General features: G+C 59.7%; 1 protein-coding gene across 2 annotated transcripts in view, besides 2 other annotated features; it reads left to right on the plus strand.

Moving 5' to 3' along the window:
- Nucleotides 1-20,147, plus strand: part of TAFA5 (TAFA chemokine like family member 5) — a 262,380-nt gene that overhangs the window by 146,889 nt on the left and 95,344 nt on the right. For both annotated transcript variants that reach the window (NM_001082967.3, NM_015381.7), the window contains exon 2: nt 10,156-10,305. In NM_001082967.3, coding sequence (NP_001076436.1) covers nt 10,156-10,305 — 150 coding nt within the window. The remainder of the gene's footprint in view (nt 1-10,155; nt 10,306-20,147) is intronic.
- Nucleotides 4,546-5,065: an enhancer, noted in NCBI's record as "H3K4me1 hESC enhancer chr22:49036799-49037318 (GRCh37/hg19 assembly coordinates)". NCBI's record gives its function as "activates a minimal SCP1, AML or CMV promoter by ChIP-STARR-seq in naive and primed H9 embryonic stem cells {active_cell/tissue: H9 hESC(naive and primed)}" and the evidence as "EXISTENCE:reporter gene assay evidence [ECO:0000049][PMID:30033119]".
- Nucleotides 10,854-11,031: a silencer, noted in NCBI's record as "fragment chr22:49043107-49043284 (GRCh37/hg19 assembly coordinates)". NCBI's record gives its function as "represses an EF-1alpha promoter that drives an FKBP-Casp9 reporter gene in an ReSE screen in phorbol 12-myristate 13-acetate-treated (for megakaryocytic differentiation) K562 erythroleukemia cells {active_cell/tissue: K562(+PMA)}" and the evidence as "EXISTENCE:reporter gene assay evidence [ECO:0000049][PMID:32094911]".

Here is a 20,147-nt window from a genome sequence, read left to right on the forward strand (position 1 = left end):
GCATTTTCTGTGTTTTTAATCCTCATACTAAGTGTCTGTACAATCAGCGATAAGACTAAACATTAGGCACTTAACTTATGAGTCAGAGCAGAGCTACCTGTGTGGGTCGCTCCGAGTGGAGGTGAGGTCTTCTGTTGTGGGCCTGTGTGGATCGCTCCGAGTGGAGGTGAGGCCTTCTGTTGTGGGGAGACGCTCCCTGGAAATTGCTGTTCTGTCCTTGATGGTGCCCCCACTTGTGGCAGGTCCCTGCTGCCTCCGAACCCCAGGAGCCCCCAGGGCTGCTGCTGTGAAGCCTGGAGATGGCTGGGCCTGAGGCCTGCAGCTTGGGGCAGAGCTAGTGTGGGTGTGGGCTGGTGCCCTGGCTGAGCAGGAGTCTGGCATCTTATTCCAGGAGTGACAGGATGGGGCAGCTGTGCCCAAGGAGGACAGCCTCAGTGTAGGGCAGAGTGTAGTCCAGCTGGACGGGACAGGCGCGGGGCCCTGGGAGGCTGAGGCCAGGGCTCTGGACCCTCCTGGCCCCTGCCCCAAGGTATGGGCAGTAGGGGCCCAAGTGAGCAAAGCCGGGCTTGCCAGATGATGTGCCTGGCCAGCTGCAGGGGCCCTGGCTCGGGGCTTCTGGGAGAGTGGAAGGGAGGTGTCTGCAGGTGAGCAGCCTTTCCGAGTCACTGGCTCTGCCCCAACACCTGCTTTGTCAGGGTACAGACACCTGTATGGTGGGCAGGGCTGGGGATGCCTGTGGGGGCCTCTTGAACAGGGCCGTGGCTCCTGGTGCGTGCCTGTGTGTAAGGATCTGTGTGCATGCGTGTACCTCACTAAATGAGTGTGGCGTAGGGGTGCATGTGTGCCTGTGAGGAGTGTGAGCTCATGGTGGCATGTGCACACATGTGCACACATGTGCCCATGGCAGGAAGCCTGGTGTGGCTGGTCTCCGCCCCGGAGCTCTGATGTCTCAGTTCGAAAGCGGTTCCTGCTAACGCCTCCTCGCCTGTCTGCCCTTCTCACCTTGTCTCTTGGCCTCGGTCCACACTGGCTGGCTAGTTTCACCCAAAATAAAAGCGGTAATAATAGTAACATCCTAATTGATGTGCGGAGCCAGCGTTATCGGCAGCAAAGTGCCTTTACCCCTGTGGTCATGAGGCGGCCTTGCCAGCCTGAGCTCTGCCGTTATCCCTGCTGGTCTCGTATCTGTAATGAAATCCCGCACCCTCGCTCAGGTGTGTGGTTTGTGTGTTTCGGGTGTGCGCATCTGTGTGTGCACGTGTGGGGCATGTGGTGTGTCTGGGACGAGGCAGAGTAGAACTCACAGCCTCTGTCCAGCCCAAACCATCGACGTCCCCAACACTTTCACAGCCACTCCCGCCCACCGAGCACAGCCGAGCCATTTCCCACACCCGCAGAAACTCTCCTTGAGGCCTTTCTCCTTCCGGTTTATGAATAGGTCTTCTCCTGTGTAAAGCCTTGAAAACAGAGCCGAGCACAGATTTGGGACCTGGGATCCTGAGGCTGTCCTGCCCGGGGGTCACTGCAGAGGGAGTCTTGTCCTTCTAAACTGACAAGACAGTCGCTGAGGACATAGTGCAAGGGGCGGCCAGGGTATTAGAAACCACACACCTTGAGATTCTCAGTGGCGAAGAGCACTCACCTGCGGGTATCGGGGGCTCAGGGAACACACAGGTGTGTCCTGTCACCACGTCCTGGCAGTGCCAGTCCAGTTGCTGGCGTTGCTCACAACTTCGTCCTTGAGAGCCACTCCTACAAGGCAAATGACTGGTCACAGGGTACACGTGTCTTAGACCCCCGACACTAAGCCCTGGGTCACCACACACAGGCAATACCCCTCCCCTGACACTAAGCCACACATAGGCAACAACCCCCCCCACACACTAAGCCCTGGGCCACACACAGGCAATACCACCCCCCCCCCGACACTAAGCCCTGGGACACCGCACACAGGGGGGACCCCGACACTAAGCCCTGGGACACCGCACACAGGCAGCACCCCTCCCCCGACACTAAGCCCTGGGTCACCGCACACAGGGGGGACCCCAACACTAAGCCCTGGGACACCACACACAGGGGGGACCCCAACACTAAGCCCTGGGACACCACACACAGGCGGGACCCCGACACTAAGCCCTGGGTCACCACACACAGGCAATACCCCTCCCCTGACACTAAGCCACACATAGGCAACAACCCCCCCCACACACTAAGCCCTGGGCCACACACAGGCAATACCACCCCCCTGGACACTAAGCCCTGGGACACTGCACACAGGGGGGACCCCGACACTAAGCCCTGGGACACCACACACAGGCGGGACCCCCCCCATCCCCCGACACTAAGCCCTGGGTCACCGCACACAGGGGGGACCCCGACACTAAGCCCTGGGACACCGCACACAGGCGGGACCCCGACACTAAGCCCTGGGACACCGCACACAGGCGGGACCCCCCCCCATCCCCCGACACTAAGCCCTGGGTCACCGCACACGGGGGGACCCCGACACTAAGCCCTGGGACACCACACACAGGGGGGACCCCGACACTAAGCCCTGGGACACCGCACACAGGCGGGACCCCGACACTAAGCCCAGCTCTTCTTCTGGCCTCACTTCCTCCCAGGCCCCAGCTCAGAGATGGTGCCCATGCAGGTGGGCAGGACAGGCTGAGGACACCCCATTGCCCCACCCGTCACTTGGACACAGGCTGGTGTGTGAGCACTCCCTACGGGAACTCTGGGCGGCCCCACGGCGCCTCCTTTTCTCCCCGTTGGGGACCTGCCCCCGGGCCCCACCTTCCCAGTGGCACTGTGGGTCACCTCGGGCCGCCCCCTGCCCTCAGGCCTGCGGGGCCCCTCAGCTGCACCTTGTTTTTGGTCTGACCAAGCACAGAGCTGACATTCGTGAATGGTAAATGCCACCCTCTTGGTCTGTGCCTGTCAAAGTCATTTTGGATATTCATCCTGTCATCCGTCACATCAGACATCCTCCCAGATCTGTGTCACAGCCTGGCAGGATCACACGGTTTGTGGGTCTGCGCCCCACGGGTGGCAGGAGCTGCTCCAGAGGGCCCAGGCTGAGCTCCAGACACCCTGAGGGCCTGTTTCCCGCCAGGGAGGCCCCAGCCCTGGCCCCTGAGTGGCTCCCTTTGTCACACCTCCTGGAGCCTGGGCCTGATCTATGCCCACCTGAAGCCACATGCAGGTGCCCCCACTGCCCCACCAGCCCCCGCCTAGCACCTGGAAGAAGGGGGTACCGCTTGTCTCCCTGGGTCCAGCCATCTCCCCTGTCAAAACTTGGCTCACTTATAAAAACAGAGTGGCTGGACTTGGACCTGTACCCACCTCTACTCAGTCCACAGCATCCTTCCTGCCATCACCTGCCGGGGTCCTGGAGAGCCAGCAGTCCCCAGGGTCTGGGCAGGGCTCTGGGAATTTTGCCGGATGCTTTCTCCATTGCTCTCCCCCTCATCCACAGGCCCCAAATCGTGACCGCACCCCCCCAACCCCGCCGCCCAAGGCCTGTGGCATCAGCTCTGTGAGCTGTTTCTGTAAAGTTTGTAGGAACCCAGGTGATGATGGTGCTAGCCTGGGTGGGTTGTGGAGGGCGTGCTGCAGCCCCTGAACCCAGTCCAGCCCCTGCCTCGCTGTGCCAGTGCAGCAGATGGGGCCGGCGCCAGGCTCTTCGGCTCTTTGGCTCTGCAGGCCTTAGGCTCCTGGAGGCCACCAGACCACTCCTCAGTTCCTGTCCTGGGACGGTGGAGGCTAGATCTGGCCCTCAGCAGGGCTCCCAGGCAGGTCTACCATGCAGCTCTGCTGGAGGGTGGAGGGTCCCACGCTGCGTGGGAGCTCAGAGCTGGCGTCTGAGTGGGCATGGGGGCATGCCAGCACCCACCGCCCCCTGCATGCCGATGAGGGACATGAATGGGCCCACGGCCTGCGGAAGCTCCTCCAGCCTGTGCGCCCAGTGCAGACACAGCCTGGGCTCCCTTGGCAACCAAGGCTGGCTTATCTCAGCTGTCACGGGGAGTGTGCTTCTAAGGGGGGGCTTCCCCTGGGACGTGGTCTCCCTTTTTGGCTTAGACACAGCCAGCTGGGTGGGCAGGGCAGGGCAGGGCTGGGCTGGGCTGTGGGTGATGAGAGGCGTTTACCCCGGGGCCATTTCTTGCAGAGGCTGGGCGGGGGCTCCTAAGTGTGCAAGCTCCCCCAGCCACATGGCGCACAGATGGTGCCCGGCTCACACCTGGCTCTGCCTGTCAGGGGTCTTCTCTGTATGGCAAGGAGCTAGGCTGCGTCCCTGTTTCAGAGGCCAGGGGACTCTGAATTAGGAAGTGAGTGGTCTGCCCAGGCTCCCCAGTTGGGGAGGTGTTGGTGGGGGTCTGCCCTATGGGACAACTTCTGTCTGAAGCTGAGACCGTGGGGGCACCGTGGCCCTTGTTGGGGCAGTGAGAACAGTGGGGGGCTGTTGGTGGGGGTCTGCCCTACGGGACAGCTTCTGTCTGAAGCTGAGACCGTGGGGGCACCGTGGCCCTTGTTGGGGCAGTGAGAACAGTGGGGGGCTGTTGGTGGGGGTCTGCCCTACGGGACAGCTTCTGCCTGAAGCTGAGACCGTGGGGGCACCGTGGCCCTTGTTGGGGCAGTGAGAACAGTGGGGGGCTGTTGGTGGGGGTCTGCCCTATGGGACAGCTTCTGCCTGAAGCTGAGACCGTGGGGGCACCGTGGCCCCCCTGCCAGGGCAGTGGGAACAGTGGTCCGTGGTCTCTGGTGGTTCCCTGCTGCCTTAGAATGTGCCAGGTGGCCACATTCTTTCCACAGAAGGGGGTCTCTGTGAAATGATGCGTGACAAACACCACCTATGGAAAGGAGGTTTCATATGATCAACCCATATGCAGCCCGACAGAAAGTCAAATTTGGGGATGTGTTCCGGGAGGGGCTGGTCCTGGGGGCTGGAGGGGTGGATTCTTTATTTTTTAAAATCTCTCTCTCTGACTTCCGATTTTTGCCACACGATGATGTCACTGCCTTTCTAAGAAAACTCCCCCAAAGGCAGCTTTGTTCTTTTCCATTCTGATGGTGGCTGCCCCTCCCCACTGCACTCCCTCCCCTCGCACACGATGCCCTCCCCTTCCCCCTGCACGCCCTCCCCTCCACCCCACACGCCCTCCGCTCGCACACAACACCCTCCCTTCCCCCCCGCACACCCTCCCCTCACACACGATGCCGTCCCCTCGCACACGCGTGTGCACACGGCCTCGCTAACTGGGAGCCCTCGGAGGCCCCCGGTCCAGGCCAACCCAGCGGAAAGTCGGTGGGGGGACCTGCAAGGTCCCATGTCCTCTCAGCAGAGGCCACTCCCCAAGCACTCGGCCTGGGCTTTGTGGGAGTTGGCACTGGAGAAGGAATTGTGATTACTTGCTTTATTTTTGAATGTTTTTCCTTCTGGTCTTAAAAGCAATGCAAACTCCTTATTTAAAAACAAAAAAAGATGAGAGAAAAGACAGAAACACCATCCCCTATCTCCAAGAAAAGGCCGGCGCCGTGGGTAGACCAGCAGCACGCTGAGGGGGGCAGCCTGCTGGCATCGTGGGTGGACCAGCAGCATGCTGAGGGGGGCAGCCTGGTGGAGGGGCCTGCACTTTTCTGAGGGGGGCAGCCTGGTGAAGGGGCCTGTGCTTTGCTGAGTGGGGCAGCCCTGTGAAGGGGCCTGTGCTTTGCTGCGTGGGGCAGCCTGGTGGAGCGGCCTGCGCTTTGCTGAGGGTGCCAAGCCCTGTGGGGAGGCCTCGCCACTGTCCCAGCCCTGCCAGAGCCCCAGGGGACCCCAGAACCTCCCAAATGGCCTCCTTCCAGAAGTTGGGCAGGTGCAAAGGGGCGGCCCAGGGGTCCGGGTCTACCCTGTACCTCCAGACAGCAGGGACACCTCCAGGCTATCATGCCCCACAGGCAGCCCTGGTGCGGCCTCCACAGCTCCTGACTCCTGGTGGGCCCGCCCTCCCTTCTGAACCCCCCTTTCTGAGAATGAGGCGATTTTGGAGCTCGTGAGCAGAGGGGCGGTCAGCACTGGATGGCAGCCAAGCATCACCCAGCACTCGGAGCCGGACCACTGAGGACCCTGTCCCTGCAGCCTGGAGACCAGGCCGGCCTGGACCCCTCCCCAAAGGCCTCACAGTGGGCAGAGATTGGGGTGTGTGGGAGTGTACATGCCGTGTGTGTGACTGTGTGGTCTGTGTGTGTGGAGTATGTGGTGTGTGGCCTGCGTGGTCTTTCTGTGTGATATATGCTGACCCATGTGTGTGGGTTGTGTGTGGGCACGTGTTTGGTCAGTGTGTGGTATGTACATTCACATGTGGGGGGTGTGTTTGGTCTGTGTGTGCACGTGTGTGGTGTGTGTGCATGCACACGTGTGTGTGAGTCCTGTGTGGTACACAGGGGGAACAGCTGTGGGAGAGCCAGGGAGCTCCACTCTAGAGCTCCACACACCCTGGCTCTTGGCTGCCCTGGCCCTGTCAGTAGTCCCAGAAGGAGGTTTTGGGGCCACTCAGGTATTGGGCTAAGTGTTCTCATTTGGGGAATGGGACCCTGGGGTTGGGGTGAGTCCTGGGCCAGCCCCTGGCCTGGCAGAGCCCATCCCTGCCTTTGCATCTGCTGCAGGCTCCAGGCATCCACCTGCTGGGGCTGAGCTGGGGGTCGCGACAGCCCAGAAAGACTGAGAGGCACTGCAACCCGGCTGCCATGTGGATCTCAGATGCACGGCCTCCAGCGCCATGGGATAAGAACGTGTACCGTTCAGGCTGCCCGGTGCGTGGCTCGCTGTGGCGATCTGTTACGCAGGAAGCTCCTGCAAGGCCCTGATGCCTCCTCTGGGAAGCTTCCCAGTGGCCGCAGGGCAGAGGTGTAGGGGTGGCCTTGTTTCAGGGCTCAGCACCGTCTCGTCCATGGAGTTTGGTTCGAATTGTGTCCCTGAGGGCTGAGAGTGTTCGGTTGGCCGTGGCTGGTTTGGGGACCGCCTGGGTGAGGGTGACCTGGGATTGGAGACCCTCCAGTGTGCACTTTGGTGTGGCCCTGCCCAGTGCGTGGCACCTGTGCCCCTTACAGAGGAGGAGTCCAGCTAGGAGGGACAACAGCTTGCCCAGGGGCTGGCCATGCCAAAGCCCTGGCCGGTCGGGTAGCACCTGAGGGGTGTGCTGTGTGGTTGGCGGCTTAGTGACTAGGCTCAGCAGCAGGGCTAGCAGGCTTTCTCAGGCTCAGCAGTACCCCAGCACTGCTGTGGCCATCTCCCCATGGCACCAGCTACTGTAGGTGGATGACTCCAGAGCTGCCCCATTTTGGGCCCTGCCCCAAGGAGGCAGCTGGCCCTGGGGTGGCCTGGACACCATGAGTCTCTGCTGGGGCTGATGTCAGAGGGAAGGGTCTGGGGTCAAGGTGGCGGCAACGCAGCCTGGAATAGTGGAGTGGCCCAGAGCCAACCTGCAGAGCTTAACACAGCAGCTGGGGACCATCCTCAGATCACAGTGACTTTCCTTCTGCGTAAATCACAACGTAAGAACGTGTGCTCGGGACCCGTCCAGATGCGTGTTGCCCCACAGCATGGCTTTGACGCAGTAACCGCTGTTATCCAGAGAGAAGCAGCACCTCATCCTCCCGGATGCTCTTTCCTCGTGGTATTTATTCATCCACTTCTTCTCTTGCTCATTTGGTGTCGCCCTTTTCTGGGAGCAGTGTGTAATTTTGTGTGCAATTTGGTAGTGGAAGTCCAAGTTCCCGCCCCACAGCCTTCGGGGAGGGGGCCCCGAGCGGGGGACCAGGGTTTTGCTCATCGTGGGAGGGGCTTGCTGGTGGGGTTGGTTCATAGTCCCAGGGGAGGCCCCTGCTGCCCCAGCATCCTTCCTGTGAACTTATGCCACCCCCTCCCCGCAGCCACGCACCAGCCATGACTCAGCAGGCCCTTATGCACTGGGCTCTGCAGCCTGGCCTGGGGCACCTTGGACAGCTCCATGCCCTGCACCATGGGCAGAAGGAGCTGGGGCAGGCCGGTCTGGTGCCCACTAGAGTCATCCAGTGCCTCCTGGTCACAATCAGACACGGGCACTCCCCAGGGTTGAGGACAGTCTGAGCCGTGTTGGGTGTTGGGATGAGAGAGCTGGGCGGCCTCTCCAAGTTCCTCCAAGCCGCACCCTGCCAGCACATGTGATGTCTGCCCTGGCCAGGGTGCTGGGCTGGGGGACCCAGAGGTGACAGGTGACAAGGCAGGTGCCAGAGGAGGGGCCGTCTAAGGTTATCATAGGAGAAAAAGTGGGATGGATAAGGAAGGGCACCCAGGCTGTAGAAACGGCTGCTGGAGAGCACCCGGGCATTGCCTGCAGGTTCCTCTCTGCAAGGGTGGGATGGCCACCCTTCGTCCCTCACGCACCCACCACGGCTTTCCTCGGAGTCACCTCCCTGCCATCCTGTTGTCCTGAGCCCCCCAGGCAGCCCGCAGACTCTCTGCTGATCCCCACAGGCTGGGAGCCCTGAGTCCGTGCATCTCTGATGCTGCGGCCATCTCCCCCAGCTGGAAGGGGCCCCTGGGGAGGACACCAAATTCTTTTCTAACCGCCGTGGCCCCAGGGCCCTGCACAGAGGAGGGCTTGCAGCAGGCACTCATTACCTACTCAGATGAAGGAGTGAGGCAGCGAGTAAGTAGACATCCAGGTGGTTCCAGGGAGCAGGTGCCCATGTGGAGCTGGATGGCAGGGGACCTGGCACTCACCGTTCAGGGCAGATTTGGGCAGCACTGGCTGAGGGACAAGCTCCATCCTGCCCTGGGGATGCTGGGTTTTCATCTTCACCTGGAGCACGGGCACTGTCTTTATTTGTCAGTGTTAATATTTGGCTGTGATTGGTGGTGGCCATGCTGCGTTTTACCAGCAGAGTGGTATCTTAAATTCCATGGGTTTATTTGCAGGGTAGAACTTCCTGGCTGTTCATCTTCCCGCACCTGAGATGCCTGGGCTGTCGGGCCCTTGCAGAGACAGCCTTCTCCTTGGAATTTAGGGGATGCGGAGGGGGCAGTGAGGAAAGCCAGGGAAATTATTTATGTTGGCACCTTTGGAAGAAATGTGTCCCTTCTCTGTACCACAGGTAATCCCAGAGCCTGACTCTGCCCCCGGGGTCCTTCCTGCTTCCCTCGTGCCCTGTGGGGTATCTGTAATGTGGGGAGCAGAGGTGGTGTGACAAGGGAGATGGGGATGCAGGGTGCTCCTGTGGGAGCCTGTCCACGACACCCATGGGTGGTGGGTGTCTGCAGAGCACATCCATGAAGCTTGTGTGTACCTGTGTCTGCATGGGCACGTGCACCCCTGGGGAGCATGTCCTCATGTGCTGCTGGTGAGCCTGAGACCCCTGGCCTTAGTGTGCTCACACCTGGGTGCCACCCGTGTAAACCTGCGTGCCTGTGGCTCACTCCAGGGGTGTGTTGCGTGCACATCTGTGCCTTGTGTGCGGTCATGTGTGCCTGTTTGCACACACGTACATGCACATATGTGTGTGTGGGCGTGCACCGCGCTGTGGGAGGGCGGAGGAAATCCTGAACCCTTTGGCATCGATGCACACAGTGGTGCCCGCCTGCTCGTTCCTCTGTACCCAGGCAGGCATGGCAGTTCCTCCCTGGCAGCGTGGCTGGTTCCACACAACTTTTGACAAGCCTGAGCGGGGGTCTGACCTATTTTCCGGCTCCAAAGTGCCACACCCTGGGGCCAGTGTGCTGGCACTTGGGGATGGAGACCAAGCACTGTGCCTCGTACAGCCCGGCTTCTCTCCAGCAGGTGCCTGATTGTGTGCAGGGGAGCCAGCTCCCTCCTTGTGATCCGAACCTTTCATTTCCGGGCGTGATAAAGATGGGGCTGTGTTTAATTTCCTGTCTGCCAAGGCAGCACCACCGCCTGAACACCAGGCTGCACACAGGGTGGAGTTCGCCGACTTGACCCAGCTCTGGCTTCCATCGAGCGCTCCTTGCTGGCAGCCTTCGAGGTGCTTTCGGACGCTCCCTCTGAGTGAAGCGGTCTCCCTGCCCTGTGGCCTGGCTGCTGGGGGCCCCTCTGTGGGTGGGCTCTGGGTGGGCTCTGGCTGTGGGGTGTCTGTAACGTGTGGCCGCTCAGTCGCTTCTGCTCCTCTCTGCAGGTCAGCTGGCCGCCGGCACCTGTGAGATTGTGACCTTGGACCGGGACAGCAGCCAGCCTCGGAGGACGATCGCCCGGCAGACCGCCCGCTGTGCGTGTAGAAAGGGGCAGATCGCCGGCACCACGAGAGCCCGGCCCGCCTGTGTGGACGGTAAGCACCCGTGGCCCCAGGACCCCTCCGGGTGCTGAGCGCGGCGTCACCAAAGGTGCCTCTTCCCTGACGCGGCCCCTTACCTGAAGGTCCCCCTAGGCCTCAGCGCATCCTCGGGTCAGGCCCCTGGCTGTTGGCACAGCTGTTCCCATGGATGGTGTGAGCTTGTGGCTTGGGGACTGGCTGGGGTGCAGTCTCCAGTTCCTGGGGGAGTGGTCGGGGAGATGCCGGTGCCCTGCCTTACTTGCCTATGTTTGGGGCTCTCTGGCCCAAGGCTGTGGTTCTCTGATGTTGCCTCTGGGAGAGGAGAAGGACAGCAGAGGGGTCATCTGCAGGATGGCAAGGTCCCCTGGGTGCCGTTCCATCGTCTGCGTGTGGTCTGGCCGAGGCTGCCAGCGGGACCTGGCTCCTTGTCTCTGGGTCTGGCCAGTTCAAGACACTCTCATGCCTAGACTCGGGAGGCCGCAGCTCCGGCCCCCATGGGCTCTGAGCACATGCAGATGAGTGCCTGCTGGCAGCTGGCAGTGACCCCCGGCCCCTAGAAGTCAAGCTTCTGACAAGCTGGGCCGTGGCTGAGGGATGATAGTGTTGCTGAGTGAACACTTGGAAAGGGCACCTGCTATGAGGTGACATGGGGCGGGAGGGGCTGTCCCGGCGTCTGGTGGGAGCCTGTCATCTGGTAGGGAACTCTGCTGTGTCTATGCTGTGCCTGACCATGGGGAGAGAGTGGGCTTGACTAAGACCACTGGTGACCAGCTAAGTTCAGGGGACAGCATGAGACCTGGGAACCCCACAGCCGGGACCTCCCCAAGGCCCAGTGTGTCCCGGGAAGGCATCTGGTGTCAACACCAGCCAAAGGTCACAGGTGGGCATGTAGGCCCGGCATTAAATCCAGGCTGCCTCCCTCCCTTGTGACCAGAGTGGGTAGGGAGACCCCTCCCTGGGGCAGACATGGGGGCTGCCATGGGCCTAGCCAGCAGCAGCCATGTGCCAGTCCAGGCAGCCTTGGGGTGAAGGACCCCACGCAGGGGTATTGGATGCCTTGGTTCTAGGCGCAGCAGCTTGACCACAGCCCAGGAGAGAGTGCAGGGAGGGAGGGTCCCCCGTGGGTGAGATGCGGAGTCCCCTATGTGGGGTCCCTGACGCCACTTCTTGGGGTGGAGAGAAACCAGCATCCCTGAGTGACAGGCGTAGACTTGGGGTTGCCCTCGAGCTGCGGCCCGGTAGGGGCAGAGGCCCTGCAAAGCCAGAAGAAGATAGGGACAGGGGCTGGGCAGGTGGAGTAGGGCCGAGGATATGTAGGGGTGTCGCTGGCCAGTGGCCCCTCCAGTCCTTGGTGGACTTCAGGGCAGCTATATCCGTGGCATCCTGCACTGAAACATGGTTGCGAGCATCTCAGGCCTGGCGCAGTGCTCACTGGCCTTCTGGGGACGCGGTGCAGGGACCTGTGGAGATGTGTCCCATGCTCAGCTGGCCCACCCCATGGATGGCAGGCCCCTGCCAGGCCTCCCAGGGCTGGATTTGGAGTCTGAGTTTCCTGACTCTGGTCAAGGGTCCTTTCCTCCCCCACTCCCCCTGTGGGGGCTCCGGATGCCCAACTTCGGATCCCACCGCCTCTGCCCAGGAGCCTGACGTGGGCAGCCTTGCCCGTGTGCTGTGATTGAGAACACGGGGTCAGGGATAGAGCCTGCTGCTACGTGGGTGCTGGTGAAGGTCCATGGAGAAGGGATGGGGCGTACAGAGACAGGGCCAAGGCATCCTGAGCACTCCACAGAGGGAGGCGGCTGCACTAGGAAAAAGAATGCCCGTATCAGCCAGGCGCAGTAGCTCACGCCTGCAATCCCAGTACTATGGGAGGCTGAGGCAGGTGGATCACGAGGTCAGGAGTTCAGGACCAGCCTGGTCAAGATGGTGAAACCCTGTCTCTACTAAAAATACAAAATTACCCGGGCGTGGTGGTGTGCACCAGCTACTCGGGAGGCTGAGGCAGAGAATTGTTTGAACCCGGGAGGCGGAGGTTGCAGTGAGCCGAGATCACGCCACTGCACTCCAGCCTGGGTGGCAGAGCAAGACTCTGTCTCAAAAAAACAAACAAAAAAAGAATGCTGGTATCACCGGGAGAAAGGTGTTCTAATAGGCCGAGCCCTTGATCCTCCAAAGCCAGATAGACCCCTCTAGGGGTTCTCAGCAGAGTCAGGGCATGGTCAGGAGGAGGAGGGCTGACGGAATCACTGAGCTCCCTCTGGGTGTCTCATTGATGAGCGTGTCCTAAGACTGTGCAGGAACAGGCCAGGCAGTGAGTCTGCCCCAGGGCCCACTACCTGGACCCCTAACCCCTGAGGCCTTTATAGGAAGGGAAGAAGGGGAAGGGGCCGCGGGCTCTTGGCTGAAGGGAGCATGCCTTGCCCAGGTCTCAGTCCGTGCAGCTCTCCTGGTCACAGATGCCCTGTGCACCTGGGGGTTGCGTGCACTGCTCAGGTGGGATACCCAGGAAGAACCGTGGGCCAGGTGGCCTTCCAGCTGAGCCACCTGTCTATCTTCCCTAGACCTAGCAGCCGTATGCCACTGGCCCTCCGGCCACCAGCCCTGAGGGTTTCTGGGAAGCTCTTTGGCACTTGGGAGGGAGAGTGTGGCGCGAGAGGCTGAGCTTGCTGGAGTGGGCTGGAGGAGAGGGGAGCCATCAGAGGCTTCTGGTGCATTTTGAGGACCTGGGGCAGGGAGGAGTGGGCCGCTGGAGCCTTGTTTTTGTCCTTATTAAAAACATCTATCAATTTGCATCTGTAGAAGGCATCTGATTAAACACCAGGTACGCAGGGCCTCAGGGCTGCTCAGTGGCTCTCAGGCCTCGGTTCTACAGAGCTGGATCCTGGGGCGAGCTGGGGCAGAGGCGTGGCGGTCTTCTTCCCAGGGAAGGGGACTGCTTCTCCCACAGCCACAGCCCTCCTGGCTGCCTGTATCTGGAGCCACTGGAACACATGGTGGCCGGGGCGCCTTCTCGGGGACACTGATGCGTCTCAAGACTGGGAGGGGGAGAGCGGTGCCCTGCACGGCCAAGGAGTTCACAGCCAGGCCGTCCTTTCTTCTCATTACTTCCGCCCGCCTATCGGCAGAGTTGGGGTCAAAATTGATTACTAATTGAATCTGGGTCTGCTCATCTGAAACCACATTCACTTTCCTCTCACCAGGAGCCTCCTGGTGCCTCAGGAGCCGGGTCCCAGAGACCCAAATTAAAACCGTACTGTTTTCAAGGGAGGCCAAACAAATTAGTTAGCTTAGTTAGCTTTGCTTCTTTTTGCACAGTGGGCATTTTCCAGGCTGCCATCTAATTTAATTTTTGCTTTTCTATTTTCTTGCTCTGCGTGCATAATAAGTTTCCTCGCATGTGAATTGCATTTGCTGAAGAGAAAACTTGTGCTGTGTTGGGTCGGTGTTGGAATTGAATGTGAGTAGGGTTGAAATCGGGGAGGCACTTGCTGCCCCTACCGCGTTCCGTGACCACAGGCGCTCGGAATGCCGGAGCAAGCCTGACTGTGCTCACTTGTCCATTGGTCGGTTTCTTAATTATTCATACATTTGCTCACTCACTCATCTGTTGAAAGAAGATGGATACCCATGGCAGCAGAAGAGGTGCATGGGGAAGTCAACTCAAAACACCCAATACAGAGAGCCATGCAGTGCTGCAGGTGCGGGAATTCAGACTGGGGCCCCAGAGTGCCATCACTTTTTCCCGCTGGGACCTCAGCAAGGATGCATCCATGAGGGGGCATTTGAATAGGGTATTGAGGGATGATGAGGAGCTCACCAGAAATGCTTCTCTTTGTGAAAAGAGGGGGCCAGTGGTTAGAGAGGAATTCTAGCCTCCAGCCTCCCCGGCCTTGTCTCTGAGCTAAAGCATTTCTGGGTGAACCATGTCCCTGCCTGTACAGGGCAGGGCTGTGAGCCTGTGCACCTGCATGCGAGATCCAACTTACGGAACCATCAGTGAAAGATTCAAACACAAACCAGCCACGCACTGTGGCGCTTTCCATCCTTACACACAGTATCAGCCACCGAGCCTCCCCTCCCCCAGGGCTGCCCTCTGAGGCAGGCACCCAGGTGCGTGATGCCCTGGCGGGCTGGCCAGGCCCTGCTTCTGCTCCTTTCTAGCTGTTTATGCAGACGCGCCAGGTTCCCTTTTCCATCAGCACACACGTGCTGGGTCCCGCAGCCACCACAGCACGGCACTGAGGACTGAGACCCTGTGTCCGAGTCCAGCGCTCACCCAGCCCTTGCCAGGCATGCAGTACCTGGCTGTACCTGGCCAGCCCGCCTCGCTGAAGCAAGGTCTTCCTTTATGAAGAGAGGTGCTGTCTCCCACAAGTTGAGTTCTCCTGAAACTCCTTTCCCAGGAAATCAAAGACTGCAGCCCAGTAGCGGGGGCAGCAGAGGGTGGTGGTTTGTGAGCGGAACTGCCCCAGAGCTGAGCCAGAGGGGTGAAGGGTGGTAGCCTCAAGTCTCGGTCGTGGGCGGGGGCAGTTTTCCCTGGGAGCTTTTGGAGGATGGTAAACTGCAGTCATGGCACAGCGCAGACCCATTGTCAGGGCCGCAGTGGCCACTGGGAGGTGCAGGACAGGCCGGGCTGACTGCCAGGTCTGGGGAGGCTGTGCCCAGGAAGGGGCAGGGCCAGAGGGCCTGGAGGTGGGTGTTGGGTGGAGCCTTATATTCTCCAGGCATGAGGCCTTGCGAGCCACCTGGGTCCTGGGCTGGGAAAAGAGGCAGAAAACAGGCAGGTGGGCACTGCCGGGTTCTGGGCAGAGGTATGGTGGCCAGAGTCTTTGCTTCTCTGTGGTTGGGAGTTTGAGGCAGGCGTGGGACAGCAGAGGCCTTGCCCGCTCTCAGGCAGTGTGGATGGTTGGCAGTAGACGCGCAGCCTTAGGCGGGTGGACGCTGAGGCCGTGGGTTTGGCATCTGTGCTTCACGTGTGGTTTAGAGTCCAGGTGTGAAGAAGAAGGGGCACCACGAGGGGGATCTGTGGTCAGCGTCACCTTCCACCCCACGTCCACAGCCCTGTCCTCATCCTCCAGCAGCAGGTCGGTGCGGGAGGGTGGAGGGTGCCCTGGCCACGTACAGGAGTCTGGAGATGGTCCTGTCCTTGCTGTGGGGATGGGGACCACACTGATGGCAGGGCCATTGGACCCTGGGCTGTGGGTCCTGGCAGTGACTGCAGGAGCCAGGGTAGGAGGGAAGTCACTTCTTCTCTTGCCTTTCCCCGTTGTTGACCGTCATCATGCCTAGCTGCTCATGATGCCCTAGCAATGTGGGGTTTAATTACAGGAGTGCAGGAGCAAAAGCCTTTCGGTTCTGAGAGGCTGGGCACAGCGCGTCATCTCCACCTCGAGGCGCCAACGGGGCCCCCAGGGCCAGCTGAAGGCATGTTGTGGCTGGGACTAGGGTGACGGGAATTTTCCACCAGGAGCGACGTGAATCACCTGCTCTATTGTACGCAAGAGACTGGGAGTGCGCCAAGGTCCCTAAGATGCGGTGTCTGTGGCCGAGTCAGCCTGCATCTACCAGTTGGTGCTCAGCCTGGCCAGGGGTTGGCCCCAGGGTGGCAGCTGGAGAGGCTGTGGCTGGCCCTGCCTGCCCCGTTCATCCCTTCGGCAAGTGGTGGTTGGGATAAGGAAGGCCCTGCTTCCCTACAGTTGTTCATACAACATGGGGACATCTGTTTGACCACAGAGCTCACAGGAGACCGCCTGCTGGCAGTTGGCTGTTCATGGGCAGCCCTTCCTGCGTTGAGCCCTGACCACCCTTGGCAGCCTGGCACCCCGCACTGGCCACCCAGCGCCATCCAGGAGGGGGTCTGGGCCCTCACCAAATCATCGAGGCCCTGATCTGAGGAAGGATAATGAAGCTGTTTTTCAGAGGGGCCCAGACCCCCACGTGGAGCACCGGCTTTGCTCTGGGCTGTTTACTGGGCACCCGCTCCCCTAACAACCTTCCTGAGAAAAGGACTCATGTTCCAGGTACCTTCCAGTACGCGACGGAGACCAGCTGGGTACCTGCCTGCCTCAGGAGGCACCCTCTCCACTGCTTAGGGGCATGGACATGTCGGCTTCCTTCTGGGGGCTCAGGGAGATCCCAGCATTTCTGGAGGCTTCCCGAGGCCATGGGCGACTGGGTGTACAGCCACATCCTCAGCCAGGTTGTGGGTCCTGGCCACCCTGGACCCCTCATGGCTTGGGGTCCGTGCTTTGTGGCACAGAAGCTGTGGGTGCTGGTGTGGCCCTCTGCTTGGCAGGCATTGCCAGCCACTGCATCACGCGACCGTGGTGGGGCTGTCAGGACACATACATCTCCGCGCAGACTGCTGCCACCCGCGGCCTTTTTGTTATGGAACCACTGCTGGGAGAGGGTGGCGTGTTATAAACGCTTGGCAAGCGGAGAGGCGCCTGGGGGCTGTTGGCGACACTTTCTTCCCCAGCACACCCCTCCGTTCCATTCTGCCTGGATCCAGATGGGGTTGGAGATGCCCTGGGATGCGGGCACCATGTCCCTCAGTTCTGAGCATGATTGGTTTGTGAGGAAGATGGTGGGAAGAGACCCTGCCCCCGGTTCCCTAGGACGTGGATGTGAATTGCTTCAGTCCAGAGGATGCAGCCACTTCAGGCCCAGCAGGTGGGCAGGGCAGGGCAGGTGTGTCTGCTGTTGGAGCCACAACTCACAGTGCCCTGGCCAGGGCCACTGTGGTGAAGTTGTTTCAGGGAGGAGCTGACTGCCCGGCCCGACCCATGGCTGTGGCGTGAGGGTACAATGGCAACTGTGCTAAAGGCCAAGCACTTTGCTTCATCAGAGCCCAGTTTTACCAGAAGGGAGCAAGCCAGTCCTTCTCCAGCAAGTTACCCAGCAGTTCCTTCCAGATCTCGGTGCGTTTAATTGTTGGAAAACCACACAGTAGCTGCATGGCTCTCTGACGCCTCTGTAGAGAGATGAGACGGTTGGAGCCAGGGTGTTCTGCTGCTGAGAACATGAAGTTCCTTGAATGTCCCCCTCTGTGAAGCGCCCCCACTCCCAGCTCCAGGGAGCACAGCTCAGGGTGAAGGAGAGGAGACCCCAGCATTCACGGGCACTACGTGAGCGTCACCAGATGGCAGCTGGGGTTGGTAGATAAGTTGCTGATTTTTGAGGTGCTGTGGGGAGTCTCAGGTTGGGAGCACACTGGGAGGTGGCTGAGCAAACATGGGTGCCCGAGCCTCTCCGTGTCCCGTCACGTAGGCACGGCGGCTCTGGAGGGAAGGGGGTGGTCTCCTTGCTCTAGCCTCTCCATGTCCCGTCACGTCGGCACGGTGGCTCTGCAGGGAGGGTCCTGTCCCGTCACGTTGGCGCCGCGGCTCTGGAGGGAAGAGGGCGGTCACCTGGCTCTGCTCCCTCCCTTTCATAAGGGAGGCTCTTTCCCAGGGCTGTGGACACAGGGCCCCTGTGCTGCCAACCAGGAGAGCCAAGAGGAGGAGGAGGAGGAGGCCAGACACCTGGGCTGGGCCTGACCCTGGGCAGACCACCACCCTCCCCTGGGGCTGGGGCGCTGGTGTCCTGGCCCCCTCGAACTCTTGAAGCCTGCCCGTGGAAGGCCCACTGCACGTGGGATGCATCGTCCACGGGCCTACAGGGTTTGGAAGGAGCACGCCTGCTCCACTCGTGCTCCTGCCTTGAACCCACCGTCACTCCTTCCCATGAGGATGGGGACAGCTTATGCCTGCTCCACAAGGCCCCCACTCCGTGTGATTCGGGGACAGAGAGCTGCAGGGTCCTGGGCAATGGGACCCCAGGCTGTGCTGCCCAGGCACGTCCCATCCCTCGTCCTGTTGGGCCCCTCTGCCAAGTGCAGGCCTCCCGGCACTGACTTTCCCATCCGAATCACTCCCAACAAACTTGGGTGGGGTTTTAATTTTTTTTCGAATTCTGTCATTTTTGAGCCGAATGACTCAAATGACTAATAACTGTCTGGCGTGGAGGAAAAGGAAGGGGAGGGCTGGGAGGAGCTCCTGTGTGAATTTGACCTTGATCCAGCACCCACTCTGCAGCCTCCCAGGCAGAAGGCCCCTGATGGAAGCTGGGACAGATGTGGGGAGAGCAGGGGCAAGCAGGGAGCAACCTCCTTATCCCCACAGTCATTTCAGGAGCACTGAGGGCTGGGAGGAGGGGCCGTGGTGGGGCAGCCTAGGCCTATGGGGTCTGCGGGCCCAGAGCTGAGTCAGGCAGCGTGTGGTGGATCTGGTAGTAGCTGGATGCATCAGTGTGGCAATCCAGGAAGGCTTCCTGGAGGAAATGGGCACTGTGTTTAAAGGGGAGGCCACACCCATCTGTCATTGTGTACTGGGCATGGTTGTCATCCAGGATGCCCCAGGGTCCTTCAGCAGCAGGCATGAGTGGGGGTCCACTCCACATCCAGCCCTGCCCAGACCCCCTGGCTGCTCCTGGAGCAAACCGTGTCTGAAGGGGCTGGCAGGATGCAGAGTGGACAGCAGCCCTCACTCTTCTGCGGGAAAAGCTTTTGTGTGCTTCAGTCATTAGAAAAGTGAATGTAAGTCCTTAAGTACTTGGATATTTCTGTCTTGGTCCACTTTGTGATGTTGAGACTGGGTAATTTGTAAAGAAAAGAAATTTATTTTACACTGTTCTGGGGGCTGGGAAGTCCAAAATCAAGGCACTAGCGTGTTCAGTTGTGTGGTGAGGGCTGCATTCTCCAGAGAGGCAGAACGCTCCATCCTCACGTGGTGGAAGGTGGAAGGGCAGAAGGGGGCCAGGCTCCCGCAGTCAAGTCCTTTTACAGCATTATCTCTCCAGGATGGTGGAGCTTTCATGACCTGAACATCGGTCAAAGTGCCCATCTCCCAACACTGCTGCATTGGGGGTTAAGTTTCCAACACGTGAATTTAGGGAACACTTTTAGACCACGGCAATTTAGAAATACGTGAATGTTCTTAACGCAGCTGTGGCCTCAAGCAGGTCCCCTGAGCGCTCTGAGCTGTGGGCAGAGAAGCAGAGGAGGGACAGTGTGGTTGAAGGCACGGTCCTGCCTGGCTTCCTGAAGCCAAACACTGATTCTTTTTTTTTTTTTTTTTTTTTTTTTTTGAGACAGAGTCTCGCTCTGTTACCCAGGCTGGAGTGCAGTGGCGCGATCTCAGCTCACTGCAACCTCCGCCTCCCAGGTTCAAGCAATTCTCTGCCTCAGCCTCCCGAGTAGCAGGGATTACAGGCGCCTGCCACTACACCCGGCTAATTTTTTTTTTGTATTTTTAGTAGAGATGGGGTTTCATCATGTTGGCCAGGCTGGTGTTGAACTCCTGACCTCCTGATCCATCTGCCTCGGTCTCCCAAAGAGCTGCAATTACAGGTGTGAGCCACCACGCCCGGCCGACGCTGATTCTTTTTCAGGGTGTTGCTTGCTCTCTAGAGTCTGCTAGAACCACCCTTGTGGTATACTGGAACTGGCTTGCACCAGATTGCGAGAACCATGGGTTAAATTTTCAGGAAATGTGTGAATTGACTTGTAATACTCCCATTATTAAAAACGAAATTACCATCCTGGCCAACATGGTGAAGCCCCGTCTCTACTAAAAAATACAAAAAATGAGCTGGCTGTGGTGGCAGGTGCCTGTAGTCTTAGCTACTTGGGAGGCTGAGGCAGGAGAATTGCTTGAACCCGGGAGGCGGAGGTTGCAGTGAGCCGAGATCGCGTCACTGAACTCCAGCCTGGTGACAGAGCGAGACTCCATCTCAAAAAAAAAAGAAACAATGAAATTATATAAACTGACCTGTAGATAAATTATACTGAAACCAAAAATATCCACGTGAACACACTA

This window comes from Homo sapiens, chromosome 22, assembly GCF_000001405.40.
Source record: "Homo sapiens chromosome 22, GRCh38.p14 Primary Assembly".
Taxonomy (NCBI): Eukaryota; Metazoa; Chordata; class Mammalia; order Primates; family Hominidae; genus Homo; species Homo sapiens.